General features: G+C 43.5%; 1 protein-coding gene and 1 long non-coding RNA gene across 2 annotated transcripts in view, besides 3 other annotated features; one reads left to right on the top strand and one right to left on the bottom strand.

Moving 5' to 3' along the window:
* The window catches only part of FAR2 (fatty acyl-CoA reductase 2), a 186,339-nt gene extending 178,576 nt beyond the window's left edge, over nucleotides 1-7,763 (bottom strand). The window contains exon 1 of the mRNA NM_001271783.2: nucleotides 7,634-7,763. The gene's annotated coding sequence lies outside the window, so the exon portion shown is untranslated. The remainder of the gene's footprint in view (nucleotides 1-7,633) is intronic.
* Nucleotides 7,396-7,545: a silencer, noted in NCBI's record as "silent region_4320". NCBI's record gives its function as "represses an Ori minimal core promoter by ATAC-STARR-seq in GM12878 lymphoblastoid cells {active_cell/tissue: GM12878}" and the evidence as "EXISTENCE:reporter gene assay evidence [ECO:0000049][PMID:35858748]".
* Nucleotides 7,856-7,915: a silencer, noted in NCBI's record as "silent region_4319". NCBI's record gives its function as "represses an Ori minimal core promoter by ATAC-STARR-seq in GM12878 lymphoblastoid cells {active_cell/tissue: GM12878}" and the evidence as "EXISTENCE:reporter gene assay evidence [ECO:0000049][PMID:35858748]".
* Nucleotides 10,837-11,338: an enhancer, noted in NCBI's record as "NANOG hESC enhancer chr12:29298636-29299137 (GRCh37/hg19 assembly coordinates)". NCBI's record gives its function as "activates a minimal SCP1, AML or CMV promoter by ChIP-STARR-seq in primed H9 embryonic stem cells {active_cell/tissue: H9 hESC(primed)}" and the evidence as "EXISTENCE:reporter gene assay evidence [ECO:0000049][PMID:30033119]".
* LOC124902908 (uncharacterized) lies at nucleotides 15,467-22,390 on the top strand. Its single transcript, XR_007063257.1, has 2 exons — nucleotides 15,467-16,835; nucleotides 16,966-22,390. It is a non-coding gene; the product is annotated as an uncharacterized LOC124902908 (long non-coding RNA).
* The last annotated feature ends 1,777 nt before the right edge of the window (nucleotides 22,391-24,167 follow it).

The following is a 24,167-nucleotide window of genomic DNA, read 5'->3' as shown; positions in this document are numbered from 1 at the left end:
CCTGAAACCAGTCCTCTTTATAAAGTTAGATATCTCACAGAAATCTTCCAATCAATATGGCTGGCAATGAGACCCATAATCCAAACTCTGTGATCACACAGCACACCCTCGTCTGAAAATATTTTATGACAGCAGTAACAGAGCCAAGCACCAGGTCTCGAAGGTCTTATTTTCTGACTCTACGTTCCATGGAAATACCTGGACTAGCTATTCCAAAATCTCCCCCTATGCTGTGGCAGCTACTTATGAAAGCCCTGGGGATCCTCACGCCAAAGATTCTGATTCAGTAGGTTTAAGGTGGGGACAGAGAAATTTGTATTTCTGTCACCCAAAATTGAGGCTGTCACCCCTAAACTACCACTATTCATATAAAAGTGTGCATTAATAATAAAAAAAGATTGGCTTCATTATTGAAATAAAAATCAGAGGCGACTACTCATAGGAAATCCAATCTGCTCAGAGGTAATAAAATAAAACAGTTAAGTTATATTAGATTTAATTTCCCCCTTACCTCTGGATGCCGTAGTTTTATTTATCTGAGTGCCTATCCTGTATATATGAGTTCAAATGTTTGAATAAAATTTACAAGTGATCACCTTTGCGACTGTCTTCTGCTCTTTACATGGGCATGTAGCGTTAGCAACACCAGCCATCAACAAAAACTGGCATTGTCACGACTCCAATGCCAAAAATAGTTTGTTTCATTTTTAAAATTAATATTATTTTAAATTTACAAGTTATAATTTCATACATTCAGAGGATACAGTAGCCATCACTTATCTTTTTTTTGGTGAGACATTTGAAATTTACTTAGTTATTTTTAAATGTACATTATCATTGACTATAGTCATTCCGCTGTGCAGTAGATCTCAAAACGAATGCCTCCTGCCTAACTGAAAATTTGAACCCTTTGACCAGTAACTTCCCCCCACCTCCCCACACCCTGCACCCCTACCACTTTTTGCCTTCAACCTCTAGTAACCACCATTCTTCTCTCTACTTTTATTTATGAGTTCAATATGTTTAGATTCCACCTAAAAATGAGATGATGCAGTATTTCTCTTTCTGTGCCTGAATGCCAATAATGTTTGAGGACCTACTAGGAAGTCAATTTAACTATTTTATTTCTATCCCCTCATAAATTAAATAAATGAAAAACAAAACAATTAAGATTACCTATGGCAGGTGAGTTTCATAGCCTTAGAGCAGGGGTCAACAAACATTTTCTGTAAAGGACCACAAGGTAAATATATTAGGATTTAAAGGTCATAATAATTGATTGGTTAGGGCACTAAAGCAGTCATAGCCAATAGGGATGACTAGACGAATGATACAAGCTGTTTTCTGATAAAACTTTATTTATAGACACTGAAGGTTAAATTTCATATACGTTAAATTTCCTATAATTTTTCCCATGTCACAGAATATTATTCTTTTGATTTTTTCTAAGTTTTAAAAATATAAGAACCATTCTTAGTTCAAAGAATAAACAAAAAGGCAGGGGCCAGATTTCAGCCTTGGGCCAAAGCTGCTGACCCCTGGGCTGGAACACAGAGCTGATGAAGCCAAGGAAGAATTCTACAGCTGTGTGAACCTGTTTCTTCCATTATGCTCTGCTGCACTGTTCTTTGGCCATAAGTTGCATTTCTGCTTCCAGCCTACCACCATGCAAATGCATGGGGATCCAGGAAGTGGATATATGAGACTCAAAAACCAATGTTCCTACAGATGCCCTATGTAGTCACACTGTATTGCCCTGCAGGGGATGGCTTACAAAGATCAGATAAGGCCCAGGCCTACCACGGGACCTAAGAGGCCCTGGGGAGTCTTCCCCATTGTTTATGCCTCAGGTCACATGTATGAAACAGAGACTTCACAAAATGTATCTTGATGAGGTCCTGCAGAACCTTGCCAAAGAAGTAGAAATGAAAAACAATTTTGCTTTTAATCAGACTGCAGATCCTGTTTCTGAATATCATCCACAGAGCAGGGTTGTTTTCATCATCAACTTAATGCCTATTAACAGAGTCAATTCCAGTCTCCCGCTTTCCACCAACTAAGTAGGATTAAAGAGATGAGAGAAGCTTATGGTTAATAGAGAACTGTAGATGTTAAAAGGTTTAATCTATTAATATAGGACAGCATTTCCCAAAGCGTGTTATGCTGAATGCTGGCTCTCTTAGATGTTCTGCTGGAAAAGCATTTCAACGTCAAGTTTAGGAAATGTAGCATAAAAGATCTCTCTTTTCTTGATTATTAACATGCATTAGGACATGCATGCTCTGAGGATTCCTGCAATAAAACTGGTTAAGTAGGGGCCCAGTGCGGTGGCTCACGCCTGTAATCCCAGCACTTTGAGGCAGGCGGATCACAAGGTCAGGAGATCGAGACCATCCTGGCTAACACGGTGAAACCCCGTCTCTACTAAAAATACAAAAATTAGCCAGGCGTGGTGGTGGGCGCCTATAGTCCCAGCTACTCAGGAGGCTGAGGCAGGAGGATGGCATGAACCTGGGAGGCGGAGCTTGCAGTGAGCTGAGATCACACCACTGCACTCCAGCCTGGGCAAGAGAGAGAGACTCTGTCTCAAAAAACAAAACAAAACAAAACAAAACAAAAAAAAAAACAAAAACAAAACCACAACTGGTTAAGTAGGTTAAATCAAGAGTTTCTCAAAGTCATATCATCAGGGAAGCTTTTCTTCCTTTACTTAACTGTTAATATCCCAAGAAAATAATAATTCATAGACTGCAGTTTAGGAAAAACTGCTATAGACAAGGCAGAGGAATGACAGGGTTTTAAGCAGGGGAGTAAATTATGTTTTGGAATAATTATTTCGGAGAGGATCAGATCTTTCTTCCCTAATTTTTCTCATTTTAGGAAATTACACCATATTCCATCTATGTGCTCAAGTCAGAAAGACAGGAGCTATATCTGTCATGCTGATAACTTTTTAAAAAATTATAAAATGCAAGCATGATTTTAAAAATCATTCAAACAGTAGAGAGGATAGTATGAAAAGCAAAAATCTCCTCCCTCCTTTCTCTCACCCCATCCCAGCAGCCAGTATACTTTTCCAGAGGTAATAACCAGGGCGATCAGTTTTTGTTTTATTTTTCAGTTCTTCTTACGGCATCTCTAAATCATATGCATCTGAGCCTACTGTTTTGGATTATAAGCATTTAGCAGTATCTATTAAATGAATTCATTCCCACTCTTCTTTCTGCCTCTCCCACCTCCCATATCCAATCTATCACCAAGACATGTCAATCCAACTCTCAAAACACACCTCAAGTCTGTGCACTTCTCTCCCTCCTCCCTGACAGTACTCTCACCTGCGCTCTGTCCTCCCTGGTCTTCCTACCTCCAATCCTTTATCCCTCCAGTTCACTCTCCTTATTGTCTACATAAAGAGTTCCTCAAAATAGAAATTAGAACAGTCTCTGGCTTAAAAGTCTTCAATGGCAACCCACTCAAATTAAATTCAAGATCTTTATCAACACCTGTGAATTTGGGCATGACCAGCCACCTGCTCCCCTCTCCAACTGGTGTCCTGCCTCTCAGCAGCGCCCTCACCTAAGTGCAGTCACAAGGCCTGCCTTCTCTCTGTCCCCTGAATGCTGCAAGCGTTTTCTCTTAAGACCTTCCCATTTGCAATTTCCTGTGCCCAGATTGCTTTTTCTCTTTGTTGATTTTTTTTTTAGTCAAGTTAACCCCTATGCTTCTTTCCAATAGCAATTGAAATCTTTCTTTGTCAAAGAGCAAGCCTTCTCAGAACACCAAAACGGAGTCAGTGCCCCTGATTTTTTTCTTACAGCATTCTGTTCTTCTCCACGCTACTTCCCACAATGTATTCCTACATGTTTATTTTGTAAATGTCTGTAGGTTCCAAAAAAATAGGGAACACATCTGCTTTGTTCAACACCAAATGTGGAAAAGCTGGCACAGTGTCTGGTCACAGAATGGGCCTAATTATTTATTACATGAATGAAGCTAGCTAGAGGGAATTTCTGTTACAGACTTATCTCCAGCCTTTTCCTTACATAAAACTTCAGCTGCATCCAGATATTCCTTTTCTGCACACTTCCCACCCCAAAGTGCCACTGTGGTCCCTGGGCACCCAAAAGTCTTGTTTGTTCATCTCTGTTGCAGAACTTTAAGGGCTATCTCTAAGGGCCTTTCCTCTTATGCTTCCCTCAGCATTTCAGCTTATTTTATTCTCTTCTTGGGAATTAATTGCACTTATTTTCTGCACCACTCATTTGGTGCCAAATCTTCTATTGCCTTGTAACTACTTATTTGCTATTTTAAATTAATACCTTATATTGACATATTTGTCTTACTAATGATGTCATAAGTTTACTGAATACAGGAACTGTTACTTTGTATCCTAAAGTACACTGCATGCCCCTGCACAGAGTAATTGCATGAAGAACGAATCTCCATTCATCCCTTCTAGTGCCATTAGAAGACCTTAATAAAGGAGTTTGATCAATTCCCTTTCACACTATTTTATTCCTCAGTGGTTCTGAGTGTATTGCCATCATGCTAACAAGGACAGCTGGAATAAAGATAAGTTTTGAGGTCAGAGAGTAGTTAAGGGAGGAGTCTGGGGACAGAGGACTTGCCTGTTTTCTCAGTTCCTCTTTAAGAGGCACCAGAGTTACAAAAGGTCACTAGGTGTATTTGGCAAGAGACTAGGTGTACTTTAAATTGATTTGGCATTTCCTAGGATATTTTAAAGGATGACTTGATCAAACTTTTGAACTTACAGATTTTTTAAATTAAATGAAACAAAAAGGATTACCCCCTCAAAAAATTTCAGTCATTGGCTCATTTTCTCACCGTTCGACGTTTGGATGAATTAGACCCAAACATTAATTTAATTCAATAACTACCTTTGGGATCCAAGAAGTTATTCTGCACCTTTAGTTGAAAATTCTAATTTTGTCCAAATAATGATATTTCAGGAGTATTTAACACACTGAATACTTGCCTACTTTTTGTTTTATTTTCCACCAAACTATAAGGGTCAGAAAGGTTCTACAGTCTTTTCAGTGTGCTCAATCAACCTTCCTCAAGCTACTTCTGAAAAATGGAGGGCAAAGTTTAACCCTTCAACAACAGCATATTTTTTAGAAAAGAACTATTCAAAGCAAGTAGACATTTTTTACAATTATTACCTCTTTTTACTTAGAGATAGTACAACCTTGAAAATAAAGAAAGTAGAAGGTGTCATCTGTTGTCTTTATTTTGTCAATGAGGAAACTGAAATGTAGGAAGACTGAATGACATGTCCAAGAGCACCTAAGTGAGCAGCAGATAAATTTCAGGTTTGTACTGGAGAACTCACCGTAAATGTGGGATTGCTGTTCAAACACTGTTATTTGGTTAGTTTTAGACCAAGTTTGTCAGCCTGGGGTCAGGATATAATTTGTAGGACCCAGTTCAAAATGAAGATCCAGAGCCTCTTTGAAAATTATTAAGCCAGCAGACGGTGATAGCAGAACATTACCAAACGCAGGGCCCTTCCAAGTGCAAGGCCCTGTGCGGTTGCAGTTTTGTATTTCCATGAAGCTGGCCCTGCCTGGAGCCTCTGGACATCTAGAATGTAGGAGGCTGGGCATCAAGGAGGCCATGAACTCCTGAAATTGTAGGTGGAATTTTGTGTTAATATGTATGCATTTGTCTTTCATATTCCATAGCTTTCATCAGATTCTCAAATTGGTCTGTTACCCTCTTCAAAGGTAATACATGTTCCAACAGAGCCTACAATGTCAGAATATATTGGTAGGGACAAGCATGCTGGTGGTCACTGTGCATGATCCTTCACAAGGCTATATTTGTGAATAAGTAAGTTTTCATGAGTGCATGGGAATTAATGCAAAATCAAGGAATTCTTAACACTGATGAGACGTTGCCAGAAACAAATGCACTCAAGAATGCTTCTTCCTCAGGAGATAGGAAAGCAGATGGTGAGATGGTCAAGATGATCATATGCTTTATAAACCCCAAAGTGATACCCTAATATAAGCCATTTTATTTATTTTCAACCTCTCCCTCTTCCTCTGTAACTGGATGTCACATTTTAGCTTCCTTTAAGGAAAGCATATTTTCATTTACTTTAATTTCTCTAATAGCTGTATGATTTACCAACTCATGGTGATTTACATCTCTTTTATAGATAATTATAGCCCAATGTTAGAAATAGGAGTAAGTGAGGAATTTGTTAATACAGCAGGGGCAGAAGCAGCCCTCAGAATTAGGAAAAGAGTACTGTAAAGACGTGGATCCTGAGAAATACTACCGATGAAATATTGACACACGCGTCGGCCTGGTAAAAACCTCATGCCCATCTCCTAGAAGTCTCACACACAAATATCCCTTCTGCGGAAATGCCTGCTCTTGCAGTTTAGGTGGCTGCCTTAAGTTTTTATTTAGTCCCTTGCCCCCCTTTCTAAATTTTGGACTAACTACACCTGTCAGTCAAATCTCCAGCTCTTATAAATGGGAATATACAGAGATGGGTAATTGAAACCACGGGGTAATTCTCAAATTTCCATTTGCCCAGTGTCAAATTTCTCTCAACCTAGCAAACAGAAAAGCACGATCTACCTGAATTCCCTGGTCACTTTTCTGACCCTACTCTGTCCTTGCTCATCACATAATGGGGGCACTTTACGTGATTCAACGAGTGGCCAAACTCTTGCAGATCCAGCGATAACCTTGGTTGCTCACACCACATAACTCAACCGTGGAAGAAATGGTGCCACCGCTGGCAGGTGAGACGCCTTCCTCTGGTTTGTAGGATACGATTGGGCATGAATTGTTTTAATAGACTGAGACTGCCCCGCGGGTAATTCTACTTGCTAGGAGTGTTGAGCAGCCTTCCTGCAAGCCATCTACTCCAGTTGGGAGTCTGCTGGCACCTGCTCCCCTGCACACCCCCAGGATGCCCAGGCCGCAGGAAGATGTCTAAAACTTCCTACAGGGGCAAAGCCCGCCCTGGCCTCACCAGTCGCCCCAGCGCGCGTCAGCCACGACCCCGGCGAGGCCCAGGTGGGAGGGTAGGGACGTGCGCAGCCTGGGGTGGGGCTGGGGGCTGGCGAGGACCTGCTCCGGGGACCAGGACTGGGCGCCCTGGCGGTCCCAGGCACCGGGAGGGGACCTAGGACCGCTGCCGTTTCACACGTGGCCCCGGCATTTTCGCGCTCTCTCCAGGAATAGCCCCAAGGGCCCAGGAGGCCTGGGTGGGACTCGGCCCCGCGCCTCTCTTCCCGGGTCCCCAGTCCCCAAGGCGCGGCCCCCCACATTAACCTTGCTGGGTCCTTCCCGGCTTTCTGCCCTTTGCAACCCCCGCGCGCCCCACCTTGGCGGGCTCCGCCGACGCCAACCGCGCGTAAACGGCCGGTGACGATTGGGGTGCAGCCGGGGGCAGCTTCAGGGGGCAGAGCCTCCGCAAATGCTTCTCTCCTCCCACCCGGCCTCACACCCACCCTCCTCGAGGTCCCGCCGGGAACCGCCCCGCCCTGCGAACCCAGCCGAGCCCTCCCTCCTGGGCCACCCCCAGTCCGGTCTCTGCTTTTGGAGCGCGTGGGCTCTGCGAGCGCCAGGGCTGGGGACCCTGGAATACCTGTTCCTCCAGCACGAGGATGGGGTCCAACTAGTGGTCCTCTAAATCCTGCTCCTTCCCCGAGGCTACGGGAAGCGCTCCAGCCACAAGGAAACGGCTCCAGTCTTTCGGCTCCCAAACGTGACACTCTATATATCCGGCTCGGAGACTGGGTGTGGGGCGGGAGGAAACCACCCTCCCTCCGACCTTCCCCGGCTCCGCCGCTGCCTCGGCACTGGGCGCGAAACCGGCGGCAGCCTCAGCCCGGGGCGGGAGGAGGGTGAGGGGCCAGCGAAGGCCCTACAGGTCGCGGGGGCGACAGCATCGTGGGCAGGGCGGCCGCGCGCGCAGGCCCGCCCCGCGCTTCCATTCGTTCAGCACCAGCGGATCCACTGGCTATGACTCCCGCATTTGTGTGGTTTGGGGGAGGGGAGTTGGTTTTGGTTTCGGTGGGTTTGGTTTGTTTGTTTGTTTGGGGCTTTTGTTTTGTTTTGTTTTGGGTTTTGGGGTTGGTTTTTTTCTCCATTTTTTAATCAGTGGGCGAGGGGACAAGGAAGCTAGAAAGGCGCCCCTCTCTGGTGTGGGAAAGGAGAACTCCCACACCGTGAAAGGTGGCGGGGTAGGGGGGTGGAGGGAGAGACCGAGACAGGAGAGAGATTCAAAGGTTCTAGTCTGAACTGAACGCTTGGGGGACATACCTTTCCCCACCCACCCTAGCAGAAAAGGCAGCCAAAAATCCCAGTTTACTCAGCTTGACTACACTGCACATCCCGTGGGAGGGATGCTCTTGTATCTGCTAAAGACATTGCGGAGGCGCCCTGCAGTGACCCACGAACGCAGTGGCTTTTTAAAACCCAAGGGCGTGAGGGTGGAGGGTGATGCGAGGACTTCAGGTGAGGCTTCCTCACACTCGGGGTTTGAAGGGCAGAAATCCGGCTCTGCCTGCCTATGGTGGGGTGGGGGTGGGTAGGAGACTAGAAAGGATCAGAGATGGGGGCCGCAGAAACAGCAGTGAGCCAGCTGTGCTCAGCAGCACTTCTCCGGACTTAAAAGAAAAAAAGATGTTTCATTTCTTAGCCTGGTAGCTTTTTTGGGATTTGGTCATTGTTAAATTTTAAACGGAAAAACAAGCTGCCAGGGAAGCCTTGTAGAGGGATGGACAGGCACGTGAGTGGAGCCCTTGGCCTCAACCAGGAAGTGCTGAAAAACGGCCAACGCCCATCCTAATTCCCTGGACAATGTAGGAGGTAAATTTCCAAATAAATATGGTGTGTTAAGAAAAATAGAAAAGAAATATTGTCCTATAAGCTGTTCTGATTCTCCTCATTATAACAATCCACATGCAATTAAAGAAATAAAATTTGACTTTTGAAAGTTAGAATTAAGGAGTGATTTCATGAAATTAAAATAATAACACCCATCTTGAATTCTCTACTACTGGGCTCTTTAATGAAATGTGTTAAGCTAAGTGTAGCCTAAAGGCACTGACTAATTTCCTCTGGTGACCGCCTGAATGCAAGAGACAGAAAAAAAGTTACAACCAAATTTATAGTATTTTTCGTTACCCCTCCCCTCCTCAAGAATAAATTTGAATGTATCTTCAAAATGTGTGTGACAGCACTTCAAATGATAATGTCAAATGCTGGTGAAAACGTATAGAAATCACTTAACAGATAGCAGATGGAAGGTAAATTGTAATCACGCTTTTGTTGGAAAGCAATTTAGCAACACATTCCCAAGGTGTTCAGTAACGAAATTTTTTCTTGTTCTGGACCTAGATTCCCATGTCTTACAATGTATTCAAAGGAGATAATCCATAAAAGAGAAATGCCGCATGTACATAGTTGCATATTTATTACCGAGTTGTTTATAAAGTAGGAAATTAAAAGCATACTTTCAGTGGGATGTTCATAGATAAAATACAACATTAATTATAGATTACAAAACCACAATTTGATTATCACCATTTAAAACGCTATTCATATATGTAGAATGTATTAGTTTGCTAAGGCTGTCATAAGGATGCACATAAACTGGGTGGATTAAACTATAGAAATGTATTATTTCATAATTCTGGAGGCTAGAAGACCAAGATCAAGATGTCTGCAGGGTTGGTTCCTTATGAGGGCTTTGAGAGAGAATTTTCCATGATGCTTACCTACTTCCAGTGGTTTCTTGTTGGCTTGTAGACACATGACCCCTGTCTCCTATAATCTTCATATGGCATTCTCCCTATGTTCATGTCTGTGTCAAAATTTATCCTTTATAAAGATACCAGTCATATATGATTTAGAGCTCACCTTAATGGCCTCATTTTAACTTTACTAATTAAATTTGCAACAACCCTATTTCCCAATAAGGTCACATTCTAGAGTACTGGGAGTTAGGACTTCAATATGTGAAACTGGCAGGGGCGGAGAAGAACGCAGTTCCACCCATAACAGATAATAACAAAAAGAGGCAATGTAGTGGGTTGAATAGTGGCCCCAAAAGATATGTCCTGAGGCAAATCCCCAGAATCTGTGAATGTGACCTTATTTGAAAAAAAGACTCTATATTTAACTAAGTTAAATATGTTGAGATGAGATCATCCTGGGTTATCCAGATGAGTCCTAAACCCAATGGCAAATATACTCACATGATAAAAACAGAGGGAGATTTGAGATACACACACACTGGAGAAGGTGATGTGAATATAAGGCGGAGACAAACTGGAGCCACGTGGAAGCCAGAGAAGCCAAGAAATGCCAACAGCCACTAGCAGCTGGAAGGGGCAAAGAAGGATTCTCCCCCGGAACCCCTACAGGGAGCATGGCCTCAATCTTAATTTCAGTTTGCTAACCTCCAAAATCATGAGAGAATAAATTTCTGTGTTTTAAGCCACCCAATTGATGTTAACTTTGAAAGGAGTTAGCCAGCTTGCTTTAGGCAGACAGTAAGGAAGGGTCCCCAGAGAACCTCCAACCCATGTTTTGTGCAGATAAGGGAACTTGCATAGAGGACTTACCTAAACATGCCTTCAGAGGACTAAGGACCCACATGCACACTGGAAGAATGGGGTGGAGCTACCAGGAATTTGTGCCTTATACAAATAGGGAACTCAGCCTTATCAGCTTGTATGTAAAACCCCTTGTATTCAACTGTAAAGGGGGCAACTAGGAACCTGCTTTCAGGACCCCCTCTTTGCTTAGAGCTTTCCTTTTACTTAATAAATTCTACACCACTCACTCTTTGAGTGTCTGCATGCCTAATTTTTCCTGGTTATGAGACAAGAACACAGATCTAGCTGAGCTAAGGACAAAAAAATCCTGCATCAGTTTGCGTGCTCGCCTGGGATACCTGGAGAAAGAGTAAACAAAGACTGTCCCAAACCTTTCTCTTTCCTTTCTGTGCCTTCTTGTCCTCAGACTTTTTCTGAAGGCAGATGCAGCACGGAACCTCTGGTGAGCCAATTAAGAATGAATGGCACAGCTACAGAGGACAGGATGCTGGAGAGGAACCCGACACCACCCCTCCATCATTCTTGGGGGTTGGGAATGTCGGCCTCGTTCCAATCCAATCTTTTCTATGGCATTTTCCTTCTTTTTTGGGGGATTGTCACGGTGCCTATCTCTTCTTTTATAATGTTAAGGGTATTATTACACGCTGCACAGATATTACTAGGTAGAGTGAGCCTTTGGCCCAGTCATCAGATATGCAATTCAGAACAACGTGATTTCTGTTCGTTCTTACAGGCATTCCACACCCCCACCTCAATGGTTAGGGGTGTACATATGGGACACACAGGCAAGCAATGACTCCCTGACCACCCCCCCCATGCCCCCTGCTGGGGCACATGGCCAAGTTGGCCACATGCGCATGCTCTGTCCAATGGCCAGGCAGGGCAGGAATGAGCCTTGGGTCCCAAGGCAGTCTCGGAGGCCAAAGTCCCCACACAGCTGGCTGGAGAGCTGGCCAGCGTTTCCCATTCACTGCCCCCTCCCGCCACATGAAGTCTTCCTCCCCTGGCTGAGCCAAGAAGAGGGTTCAACAATTAAGAGTTTTTCTCCCTGTTAGAAGAACCCATTTGCATAAAGCAAGAGGTTTTTTTCTTCCTTTTTTTCCCCTGCCCCAAACCATCCTCCCCACCCTACACTTAAGCTATTTTATTTTCCCCCTTTTCTCCACCATGTCAGGAGGTAGGTTTCTTTTCCTTTCGGACGACATCTTATTAGGCCCAGACCCCTAAACACGAGACACTCTTTTCTCTCCCTCGTTTGAGGAGGAAGCAGCTCCACAGCTTTTCCTTAGCATGATGAATTCCTGCCAATTAGGCCCCCTATCATTTCATGGATGGAGGTCATGCTAGTATCCATGGCATAAATGAGGTCTAGGGAACTCAAAGCTTACCAAAAACAGGGAGGAGGCAGCACATGGCTAAATGCAGGTAATTATCACCACCTAGGCCTCCCTGTTAATATGGGGGGAAAAGCAGCATTGGCACCCATGGGCAGCACCCTGTTGAGGTTACTGGGACTTGGGGATATGAAGATGGAAGAAGGAAGGGGGGCCTCTTCTCTCTCTCCCTCACATACCCTGGATATTTCGCAGAAAGAAAAAAGGACTAGGGACGCCTTGTTCCCCTCTTCCTAGATGGGTAACCAATAGTTTTCAATCTATCAGGAGTCTTGAATACCTCCTGAATCACTGGGACTCCTCTGGAAAAAAAAAAAAAAGAGATAACTTCTTTTTTCTTTTTCCTCCTCTGTCCTCTCTTCACAGATGGGTAATTGTGTCCCTGTAACACAGGACGCTTTCCTCGGATGCATCCCCCAAACTGGGAAAAATTAGTTTCCTCAAACCTTAAACTGCTTGGCTTAAAATTGATCTTGGAGGAGGGGAACCCAGAAGGCTGACATGCTGGCAAAAAGTAAAAGTTCTTACCAGTCAGACTTTTGGCCTGTCTCTCCCTGTGCAAACTGGTAACATAAATGGTAAAGGTCACTGTTTACATCCTCTGTAACATTTTGATTAATGGAAAAAAGGATTTATGAGGCCAGTCTTGGGCTATAGGCAATCTGGTGAGCGTTGTGTGTGTCTTTCTGTATGGTTTTGTCACATGGAGGAATGCCTTAGGATAGAATGCAGGCCTAGGACCCCAAAAAGCCCGCTGTTCAAGCCAGCCCAGCAAACTGGTCAGTAACGAGCTTTGGTGCAGGTCTCCATCTTGTTTTACATCCTTGGGAGCTTGATCTTGTAACCACATGGTAGTACTTTCTTTTGGCCTTTGCCATTTTACAATGGCAGTGCAGGTTCAATCCTGGCTTAGGGGATGGATACTTTCTGGTTAATATCTGTGTTACTTTGGCCATTTGCTGATTCTTTTTCTCTCCATGAATAACTTCTGGCTTCCTTTGTTGAATCATTCTTTCTCTCAGCTACCTTTAAAGATTCTAGATTTTGTAGAAACTGCTTACCACCTCTTTGAAAATACTTTGTACACTCACGGTCAAGTCATAACCTTAATTGAGGCTTGTTATTTTCACCTGTTTCACTTTTGGTAAAGTTCAAAAGCTAGAAATATTGGCTACTTGGCATGGCTAAAGTTGGGTACTAAGGAATTTAAAAGGATTTTCTTAAAGGATGCTCAGCTTAATTGAAAGTGGATATCAAAGTTATAGGTATATTTTAAAGGCCTTTTTGTTTTTCTCTTCCTGGATCTTGTTTTTCTGGAAAAAGGTGTTTTTCTGTCAACTGAATTATTTTTCCCCATTTTGTCTTGCCACTATTTATGCATGCAGGAGAGGCCCTAAGGTAACTTCTGAGGGCATGGGACTTGGCGGTAAAAACAGAGAAGGTGCTGTGGACCCCATTTTCGGAAGAAAACTGTTTTCCTCACAGAATCCCAGGAATTGAAAGCTGATGGATACCTCTCAAAATCTGTTTTTGTCTTCTGGCTATGCCTGTTTATTAGGCTGTAGAAATTGCATGCTCTCCTAGCGGTGCTTTTGAAAGCCTCCATCCTGAGGCCAATAATCCAATTATGAGATTGGCAAATGAAAAATCTTACAATTACTGTATCTTCTTCTATCTGTCTGTATAGTTATATATGTGTTATATGTGTGATATTTATAAAAAAGAGCTCTAATTGATTAGCCTAAAGAAAAACAAGTGCTTAGACCAAATATTTTGAAGGAAAAATAAAAGCTGTAATGCCTTTTAGTTCACGTGACTTTAATCTTTGAGAAATAAAAACAGTTTTAAAGATAATTGGTAAAATACAAATGTCTTCAGAATGTAAACAAGTGGTCTAAATTATGTGGGTTAGATACTAGGTTTGCGAAATGTTTTAAGGTTATAAACTACTTCTTTGTTATTTGAGAACTTTTTGACCTGCCTGCTTTACAATTTGGTAAGGCTGAGGACATATGGAATTAACCACACCCTTAACTATACTGGAAAGAGTCAGATCTTATCTGTGCCTACTACATAATTTAAATAACCAAGTTTTACACTAAAATTAAAAATTGCTAAGAGTTGCTGTTATAACATGTAATTGAGACTACTGAAAATAGACTTACATGCAATGTGTGTAAACAAAGTAAAATATGTTTTTAGTAAAAGATAAGAAGACAAGGGAATGTAAATTTTTGCCTAGGGTTAAAGGATTGTTTTGAATTAGACAAGATAAAACTGAAGGTTTAAACAAGTGGAGAAAGGTTTATAAAAATGATCTTATAAAAGAAGCTCTATGTGTAACATATTGACTAACTTCAAAAGGGTATTATTTGGTTTTTCTGTAAATTAAGCATTGAAATAAAAGCACAACAAGGTTTTCTTGAGGCACTGACCTGCTCTTTCACAAAAATTTGTAGAGTTATAAAAGGATTACAAGAATTTCATCTGATGGTCAAACTGGTTAAGATTGAATAGAATTATCTATAAGGTTTCATTTAAAAATGGAGTTGATATTAATAGTAGACTAATGCAAGAGTAAAATTTGGCTTTCTCTCTTGAACAAGATTTTCATGTAATAGTAAAAGATAATGAAAAGTTTTTGCCTTTTTAAAAATTTCTGAGTCATCATTTTGGCTAAATAAATAACTTATGGTAATCTGCTATTCTATTTCATAATATCAGGTGTTTTGAACCTTCAACACATTTAACAGACTTCCTAAAGTCAAACTTCAGCTTCAAAAATTGTCTTTCCTAACCTCTAGCTTTTGGATGCTACAGAGGGCTCTTGGAGTATTCAAAAGAAAGGTAAACAGGATTATTTCACATGTTTAGTTACATGGGATTGCCAAAATAATGTTTAATCTTCTTCAGGTTATATTTCAGTGAATAATATTAATATATGTTCCAAAATTGTATGGGATTTTAAAAATTCTAATGTCTGAATATATGCTATCAATCATAATTAAGTTTATTATGTCAAGTTATTGTAAACCACAGAAATAACTACATTTCTTTGTCAATTGTGTTTTTGACTGTAACTACCCTGGATATTTTGTCATTCACAGATAAGTGTTGCCTTGCTTTAATCCTTTTCAAAAGATGGTTTATAATCAGCTATAGGACTTTGACAGGTGCTGTTAAATGTAGGTTTCTGATATCTCTGAAGATTGTAATATTGGAACAAAGGAAAAATGTACAGGACACCTGAAGAGTTGAAATGTTCATGGATATCAAACAGAATAAAAGTTAACAGAATGGACTGAACTAACAGAAAACTGAAGTAATCTTTTTAACCTTTGTGCTTAAATCCTTGCTGATACTTGTTTTGTTTCTCAGAATCAAGGAAACTTATTTTGAGCTATTTACAGTGTTTAATAATTGAGTAAAATATATACCTGTGAACAAAATTTCAAACATATTTGTTGCTCTCTGCCTGGCTTCTCCAGAATTTGAAAACTATTTGTGAGTATTCTTAGCTTATGGCAATATACTTATTTGCATTAGTGCAATAAGAATCCATTTTCTTTTGCAACAGGACACAATTGGAGAAACTGGATGTTTTACCAAGGCTTTGGCTGGAAGGATATGCTTCCCTTTAAGGAATCAAGTTTGACTTGCAGAGGCAATAAAAGCCCCCTGGGAAAACTGGCCTCATACTTTGTTTACACAGCCCCCATACAGGGTTTCTAAACTGTGGTGAGTAAAGAATGTCACTTTTTTTTTTTTTTTTTTTTGAGATGGAGTCTTGCTCTGTTGCCCAGGCTGGAGTGCAGTGGCATGATCTCGGCTCACTGCAAACTCCACCTCCTGGGTTCACGCCATTCTCCTGACTCAGCCTCCCAAGTAGCTGGGACTACAGGCACCCACCACCACACCCGGCTAAGTTTTTGTATTTTTAGTAGAGACGGAGTTTCACCATGTTAGCCAGGATGGTCTCGGTCTCCTGACCTTGTGATCTGCCCTCTGCAGCCTCCCAAAGTGCTGGGATTACAGGTGTGAGCCATTGCGCCTGGCCAAGTATGTCACTTTCTATCAGGCCCAGGAGCCCCATGCTTTTGCCACCTTAAGAAGAGAGGAATTTACCTAACTCATAGGTATTTGAGGGTACAAACCCATTGTTAAGCTCAGCTTTAAAAGGTCTTATCTGAAATTCCTTGTGGAAGAGAGTTCCATCAAAGCCAATTTAAAAGTGTCAGGCCTCTGAGCCCAAGCTAAGCCATCATATCCCCTGTGACCTGCACGTATACATCCAGATGGCCTGAAGTAACTGAAGAATCAGAAAAGAAGTAATATTTAAATGGCCTGTTCCTGCCTTAACTGATGACATTCCACCACAAAAGAAGTGAAAATGGCTGGTCCTTGCCTTAACTGATGACATTACCTTGTGAAATTCCTTCTCCTGGCTCATCCTGGCCTAAAAAGCTCCCTGACTGAGCACTTTGTGACCCCCACTCCTGCCTGCCAGAGAACAACCCCTCTTTTTCCTTTACCTACCCAAATCTTATAAAACAGCCCCACCCCTATCTCCCTTTGCTGACTCTCTTTTTGGACTCAGCCTGCCTGCACCCAGGTGAAATAAACAGCCTTGTTGCTCACACAAAGCCTGTTTGGTGGTCTCTTCACATGGATGCGAGTTAAATTTTGGTGCTGTGACTCAGATCAGGGGACCTCCCTTGGCAGATCAATCCCCTGTCCTCCTGCTCTTTGCTCCGTGAGAAAGATCCACCTACAACCTCAGATCCTCAGACTGACCTGCCCAAGGAACACCACACCCATTTTAAATCAGGTAAGCGGCCTCTTTTTACTCTCTTCTCCAACCTCTCTCACTATCCCTCAACCTCTTTCTCCTTTCAATCTTGGCGCCACACTTCAGTCTCTCCCTTCTCTTAATTTCAGTTCCTTTCCTTTTCTCATAGAGACAGGAGACGCATTTTATCCGGACCCAAAACTCCGGCGCCAGTCACGGACTCAGGAAGACAGTCTTCCCTTGGTGTTTAATCACATGGGGATGCCTGCCTGATTATTCATCCACGTTTCAGAGGTGTCTGACCACGCGAGGAAGCCTGCCTTGGTCCTTCACCCTTAGTGGCAAGTACCACTTTTCTGGGGGGCAAGAACCCCCCGACCCCTTCTCTCCATGTCTCTATCCCTTCTCTGCTTTTCTAGGGGGCAAGAACCCCCTGACTCCTTCTCTCCATGTCTCTACCCCTTCTCTGCTTTTCTGGAAGGCAAGAACCCCCCAGCCCCTTCTCCTTCACCCTTAGCAGCAAGTACTGCTTTTCTAGGGGGCAACAACCCCCCCAACCCCTTCTCTCCGTGTCTCTACTGCTTCTCCACTTTTGTGGGGGGCAAGAACCCCCCAACCCCTCCTCTCCGTGTCTCTACCCCTTTTCCACTTTCCTGGGGGCAAGCACCCCCCACCCCTTCTCTCCGTGTCTCTACTCTCTCTTTTCTCTGGGCTTGCCTCCTTCACTATGGGCAGCCTTCCACCCTCCATTCCTCCTTCTTCTCCCTTAGCCTGTGTTCTCAAGAACTTAAAACCTCTTCAACTCACACCTGACCTAAACCTAAATGCCTTATTTTTCTTCTACAATGCCGCTTGACCCCAATATAAACTCGATAGTTGTTCCAAATAGCCAGAAAACAGCACTTTCAATTTTTCCATCCTACAAGATCTAGATAATTCTTATTGTAAAATAGGCAAATAGTCTGAGGTGCCTGACGTCCAGGCATTCTTTTACACATTGTTCCCTCCCTAGTCTCTGTTCCCAATGTGACTCATCCCAAATCCTCCTTCTTTCCCTCCCGCCTGTCTTCCCAGTCCCAACCCCAAGCGTCGCTGAGTCTTTCTAATCTTCCTTTTCTACAGACCCATCTGACTTCTCCCCTTCTCCCCAGGCTGCTCCTAGCCAGGCTGAGCCAAGTCCCAATTCTTCCTCAGCCTCTGATCCCCCACACTATAATCCTTTTATCACCTCCCTTCCTCACACCGGGTCCAGCTTACAGTTTCCTTCCACAACTAGCCCTCCCCCACCTGCCCAGCAATTTCCTCTTAAAAAGGTGGCTGGAGCTAGAGGCATAGTCAAGGTTAATGCTCCTTTTTCTTTATCAGACCTCTCCCAAAATCAGTTAGCATTTAGGCTCTTTTTCATCAAATATGAAAAACCCAGCCCAGTTCATGGCTTGTTCGGCAGCAACCCTGAGACGCTTTACAGCCCTAGACCCTAAAAGGTCAAAAGGCCATCTTATTCTCAATATACATTGTATTACCCAATCTGCTCCTGACATTAAATAAAACTCCAAAAATTAAGTTCCAGCCCTCAAACCCCACAACAGGACTTAATTAACCTCACCTTCAAGGTGTACAATAATAGAGTAGAGGTAGCCAAGTAGCAATGTATTTCTGAGTTGCAATTCCTTGCCTCCACTGTGAGACAAACCCCAGCCATATCTCCAGCCCACAACTCCAAATGCCTGAACTGCAGCTGCCGGGGGTTCCTCCAGAACCTCCTCCCCCAGGAGCTTGCTACACATGCCAGAAATCTGGCCACTGGGCCAAGGAATGCCCACAGCCCGGGATTCCTCGTAAGCCATGACCCATCTGTGTGGGACCCCACTGAAAATTGGACTGTTCAACTCACCTGGCAGCCATTTCCAGAGACCCTGGAACTCTGGCCCAAGGCTCTCTGACTCCTTCCCCAATCTTCTCAGCTTAGTGGCTGAAGACTGACACTGCCCGATCGCCTCAGAAGCCCCCTAAACCATCACGGATGCTGAGCTTCAGGTAACTCTCACAATGGAAGGTAAGTCCGTCCCATTCTTAATCAATACGGACGCTACCCACTCCACATTACCTTCTTTTCAAGGGCCTGTTTCCCTTGCCTCCATAACTGTTGTAGGTATTGATGGCCAGGCTTCTAAACCTCTTAAAACTCCCCAACTCTGGTGCTAACTTAGACAATACTCTTTTAAGCACTCCTTTTTAGTTAACCCCACCTGTTCAGTTCCCTTATTAGGCTGAGACACTTTAACTAAATTATCTGCTTCCCTGACTATTCCTGGGCTACAGCCACACCTCATTGCCATCTTTTCCCCCAGTTCAAAGCCTCCTTCACATCCTCCCCTTGTATCTCCCCACCTTAACCCACAAGTATAAGACACCTCTACTCCCTCCTTAGTGACCGATCATGCACCCCTTACCATCCCATTAAAACCTAATCACCCTTACCCTGCTCAATGCCAATATCCCATCCCACAGCATGCTTTAAAAGGATTAAAGTCTGTTATCACTCACCTGCTACAGCATGGCCTTTTAAAGCCTATAACCTCCCCTTACAATTCCCCCATTTTACCTGTCCTAAAACCAGACAAGGCTTACAGGTTAGTTCAGGATCTGCGCCTTATCAACCAAATTGTTTTGCCTATCCACACTGTGGTGCCAAACCTATATACTCTCCTATCCTCAATACCCATTATTAATACCCTCAATACCCTCCACAACCCATTATTCTGTTCCAGATCTCAAACTTGCTTTCTTTACTATTCCTTTGCACCCTTCATCCCAGCCTCTCTTCCCTTTCACTTGGACTGACCCTGACACCCATCAGGCTCAGCAAATTACCTGGGCTGTACTGCTGCAAGGCTTCACAGACAGCCCCCATTACTTCAGTCAAGCCCAAATTTCTTCCTTATCTGTTACCTATGATGGCATAATTCTCATAAAAACACACGTGCTCTCCCTGCTGGTCATGTCTGACTGATCTCTCAAACCCCAGCACCTTCTACAAAACAACTCCTTTCCTTCCCAGGCATGGTTAGATACTTTCAACTTTAGATACCTGGTTTTCCCATTATAACAAAACCATTATATAAACTCACAAAAGGAAACCTAGCTGACTCCATAGATCCTAAATCCTTTCCCCACTCCTCTTTCCATTCCTTGAAGACAACTTTAGAGACTGCCCCCACTCTAGCTCTCCCTGACTCATCCCAACCCTTTTCATTACCCACAGCTGAAGTGCAGGGCTGTGCAGTCAGAATTCTTACACAAGGACCAGGATCGCATCCTGTAGCCTTTTTATCCAAACAACTTGACCTTACTGTTTTGTCTAGCCCTCAAGTCTGCGTGCAGCAGCTACCACCACCCTAATACTTTTAGAGGCCCTTAAAATCACAAACTATGCTCAACTCACTCTCTACAGTTCTCTTAACTTCCAAAACCTATTTTCTTCCTCACACCTGACACGTATACTTTCTGCTCCCTGGCTCCTTCAGCTGTACTCACTCTTTGTTGAGTCTCCCACAATTACCATTGTTCCTGGCCTGGACTTCAATCCGGCCTCCCACATTATTCCTGATACCACACCTGACCGCCATGACTGTATCTCTCTGATCCACCTGACATTCACCCCATTTCCCCATATTTCCTTCTTTCCTGTTCCTCACCCTGATCACAGTTGGTTTATTGATGGCAGTTCCACCAGGCCTAATTGCCACACACCAGCAAAGGCAGGCTATGCTATAGCACAAGCCACTAGCCAACCTCTAAGAACCTCTCATTTCTTTTCCATCGTGGAAATCTATCCTCAAAGAAATAACTTCTCAGTGTTCCATCTGCTATTCTACTACTCCTCAGGGATTGCTCAGGCCTCCCTTCCTTTCCCTACACATCAAGCTCAGGGATTTGCCCCTGCCCAGGACTGGCAAATTAGCTTTACTCAACATGCCCCAAGTCAGGAAACTAAAATACCTCTTGGTCAGGGTAGACACTTTCACTGGATAGGTAGAGGCCTTTCCCACAGGGTCTAAGAAGGCCACCACAGTCATTTCTTCCCTTCTGTCAGACATAATTCCTCAGTTTGGCCTTCCCACCTCTATACAGTCCTATAACAGACCAGCCTTTATTAGTCAAATCACCCAAGCAGTTTTTCAGGCTCTTAGTATTCAGTGAAACCTTTATGTCCTTTACAGTCCTCAATCTTCAGGAAAGGTAGAACGGACTAATGGTCTTTTAAAAACACACCTCACCAAGCTCAGCCACCAACTTAAAAAGGACTGGACTGGCCGGGCACCGTGGCTCATGCCTGTAATCCCAGTACTTTGGGAGGCTGAGGCAGGCAGATCACGAGGTCAGGAGATCGAGACCATTCTGGCTAACACGGTGAAAACCTGTCTCTACTAAAAATACAAAAAATTAGCCAGGTGTGGTGGCAGGTGCCTGTAGTCCCAGCTACTCCGGAGGCTGAGGCAGGAGAATGGCATGAACCCAGGAGGCGGAGCTTGCAGTGAGCCAAGATCGTGCCACTGCACTCCAGACAGAGTGCAGTGCAAGACTCCATCTCAACAAAAAAAAAAAAGGACTGGACAATACTTTTACCACTTTCCCTTCGCAGAATTCAGGCCTGTCCTCAGAATGCTATAGGTTACAGCCCATTTGAGCTCCTGTATAGACACTCCTTTTTATTAGGTCCCAGTCTCATTCCAGACACCAGCCCAACTTGAACTGCACCCCAAAAACTTGGATAGAGCCTAAAAATTCACCAACCAAGCAAGTAATTACGCTGAACCCCCTTGGGCACTCTCTAATTAGATGTCCTGGGTCCTCCCAATTCTTAGTCTAATATCTGTTTTTCTCCTTCTCTTATTCCATTTAGTTTTTCAATTCACACAAAACAGTATCCAGGCCATCACCAATAATTCTATACAACAAATGTTTCTTCTAACAACCCCATAATATCGCCCCTTACCATAAAATCTTCCTTCAGCTTAATCTCTCCCACTCTAGGTTCCCACGCCGCCCCTAATCCCGCTCGAAGCAGCCCTGAGAAACATCGCCCATTATCAATCCATGCCACCCCCCAAAAAAATTTTCTCCCCACCCCAACACTTCAACACTATTATGTTTTATTTTTCTTATTAATACAAGAAGAGAGGAATGTCAGGCCTCTGAGCCCAAGCTAAGCCATCACATCCCCTGTGACCTGCACATCTACATCCAGATGGCCTGAAGTAACTGAAGAATCACAAAAGAAGTGATATTTAAATGGCCTGTTCCTGCCTTAACTGATGACATTCCACCACAAAAGAAGTGAAAATGGCTGGTCCTTGCCTTAACTGATGACATTACCTTGTGAAATTCCTTCTCCTGGCTCATCCTGGCCTAAAAAGCTCCCTGACTGAGCACCTTGTGACCCCCCACTCCTGCCTGCCAGAGAACAACCCCCTTTTTTCCTTTACCTACCCAAATCTTATAAAATGGCCCCACCCCTATCTCCCTTCGCTGACTCTCTTTTTGGACTCAGCCCGCCTGCACCCAGGTGATTAAAAGCTTTATTGCTCACACAAAGCCTGTTTGGTGGTCTCTTCACACAGAGTGAAAAAAGGCCTATGTGAAAAATGATTATTCTTGCTATACTTTATGCAAATAACCAGGCCAACCATGAGACTAAAGTTTATTTTGCAAACAACTCAGTCCTATCATGATTTGTTTTTGACAAAAATGAGGACTGGAGAGAGAAAACTTATGTTTCAAAACTTACACACTTGTCATTAAATTCTAATCTCATCGTTTTTTTTTTTTAAGTTTCTGCCTACATTTTAGACTAACTCTGCTTATTCCTGTGAACCAACCAGTGGTCTCTGGCTGCAGCTCAGAAAAAACAAAAGGGATGGGTAATGTAAAAATCTGGATGAGTATTCTAGTTCTGGGCAATTATCCTGCAAATCCTGCCAGGTGGTATGAGTAAATAGGATGCCTATAACCAGGAGGTTTCTCTGTTAGGAAAATAAGATCAAGGGAGCTAACCAAAGCCGAGCCCCATGTACCGAAATCTTAGCAGGCATAACTATAGTCACCAGTTATCAGGTTGTGTTGACAGCCTAGGGATTTTTGAGCTGCCCTTACCCACCTTTGTTTCGTTTTGATACATGTCTTCTAATAAGCTAAATTGTTTCTTCTTACTTAGAGGCCATTAAACTTCAAATGGTGATGCAAATGGAACCACACATGGATGTGCCATTCTTCTGGGGACCCTTAAACAGACTCAGGAGGAGCCTGAGATTAACAATTTGTTTAAAACCCTGTCAGCAGGAAGCAGTTAAGAGCAGTCATCGCCCACTTTCCCCAACAGCGGCCTGAGTCTCCACTTCTGATGGGGGGAATGAAAGGAGTTAGCCAGCCTGCTTTAGGCAGACAGTAAGGGAAGAGTCCCCAGAGAACCTCCAACCCATATTTTGAGCAGATAAAGGAACTTGTACAGGGGGCTTGCCTAAACATGCCCACATGCGCACTGGGGGAATGGGATGGAGCCAACAGGAATTTGTGTCTTATACAAATAAGGAATCCAGTTCCATCAGCTTGTATGTAAAAGCTCTTATATTCAACTGTGAAGGGGGCAACTGGGAACCTGTTTTCAGGATCCCTCTTTTTGCTGAGAGCTTTCCTTTCGCTTAATAAATTGCATTCCACTCACTCTTCAAGTGTCCACATGCCTAATTTTTCCTGGTCATGAGAAAAGAACCCAGACCTAGCTGAGCTAAGGAGAAAAAACTCCTGCACCAGTTTGTTATGGCAGTCCTACAGGAAATTTGTCTTGGGTGGAATTTCATGTATTTACTTTTTTTTTTTTTTGTAGGAGAGTGATGTATGATTTCATACCATTTCAAGTAGGTATTTTGATAGCATTCTCTTAACATTCTTAGCCACTTTTGAAGGGATGAGCAACGGACATGCTAAAGATTTTATCATCTTCAAAACCAAACTCTCCAATAGGCCCAAATGCAGCTAAAACTGCAACAAGTTCTGATCTTTCTCAATGAGATCCATTGTTCTGGACCCTCATACATGGTGTGCATGCAACTCCTGTTAATATGAATTCAGTTTCACATTGGTTTGATTAAAGTCCGAAGGTTTGTTATCTCAAAAACAATGTTGCTGGCCGGGCGAGGTGGCTCATGCCTGTAATCCCAGCACTTTGGGAGGCCGAGGCAGGTGGATTGCCTGAGTTCAGGAGTTTGAGACCAGCCTGGGCAACACGGTGAAACCCTGTCTCTACTAAAATACAAAAAATTATCCGTGTGTGGTGGCATGCGCCTGTAATCCCAGCTACTCAGGAGGCTG

The sequence above is a fragment of the Homo sapiens genome, chromosome 12 (genome assembly GCF_000001405.40).
Source record: "Homo sapiens chromosome 12, GRCh38.p14 Primary Assembly".
NCBI lineage: Eukaryota > Metazoa > Chordata > Mammalia > Primates > Hominidae > Homo > Homo sapiens.
This window is presented reverse-complemented; position numbering and strand designations above follow the sequence as displayed.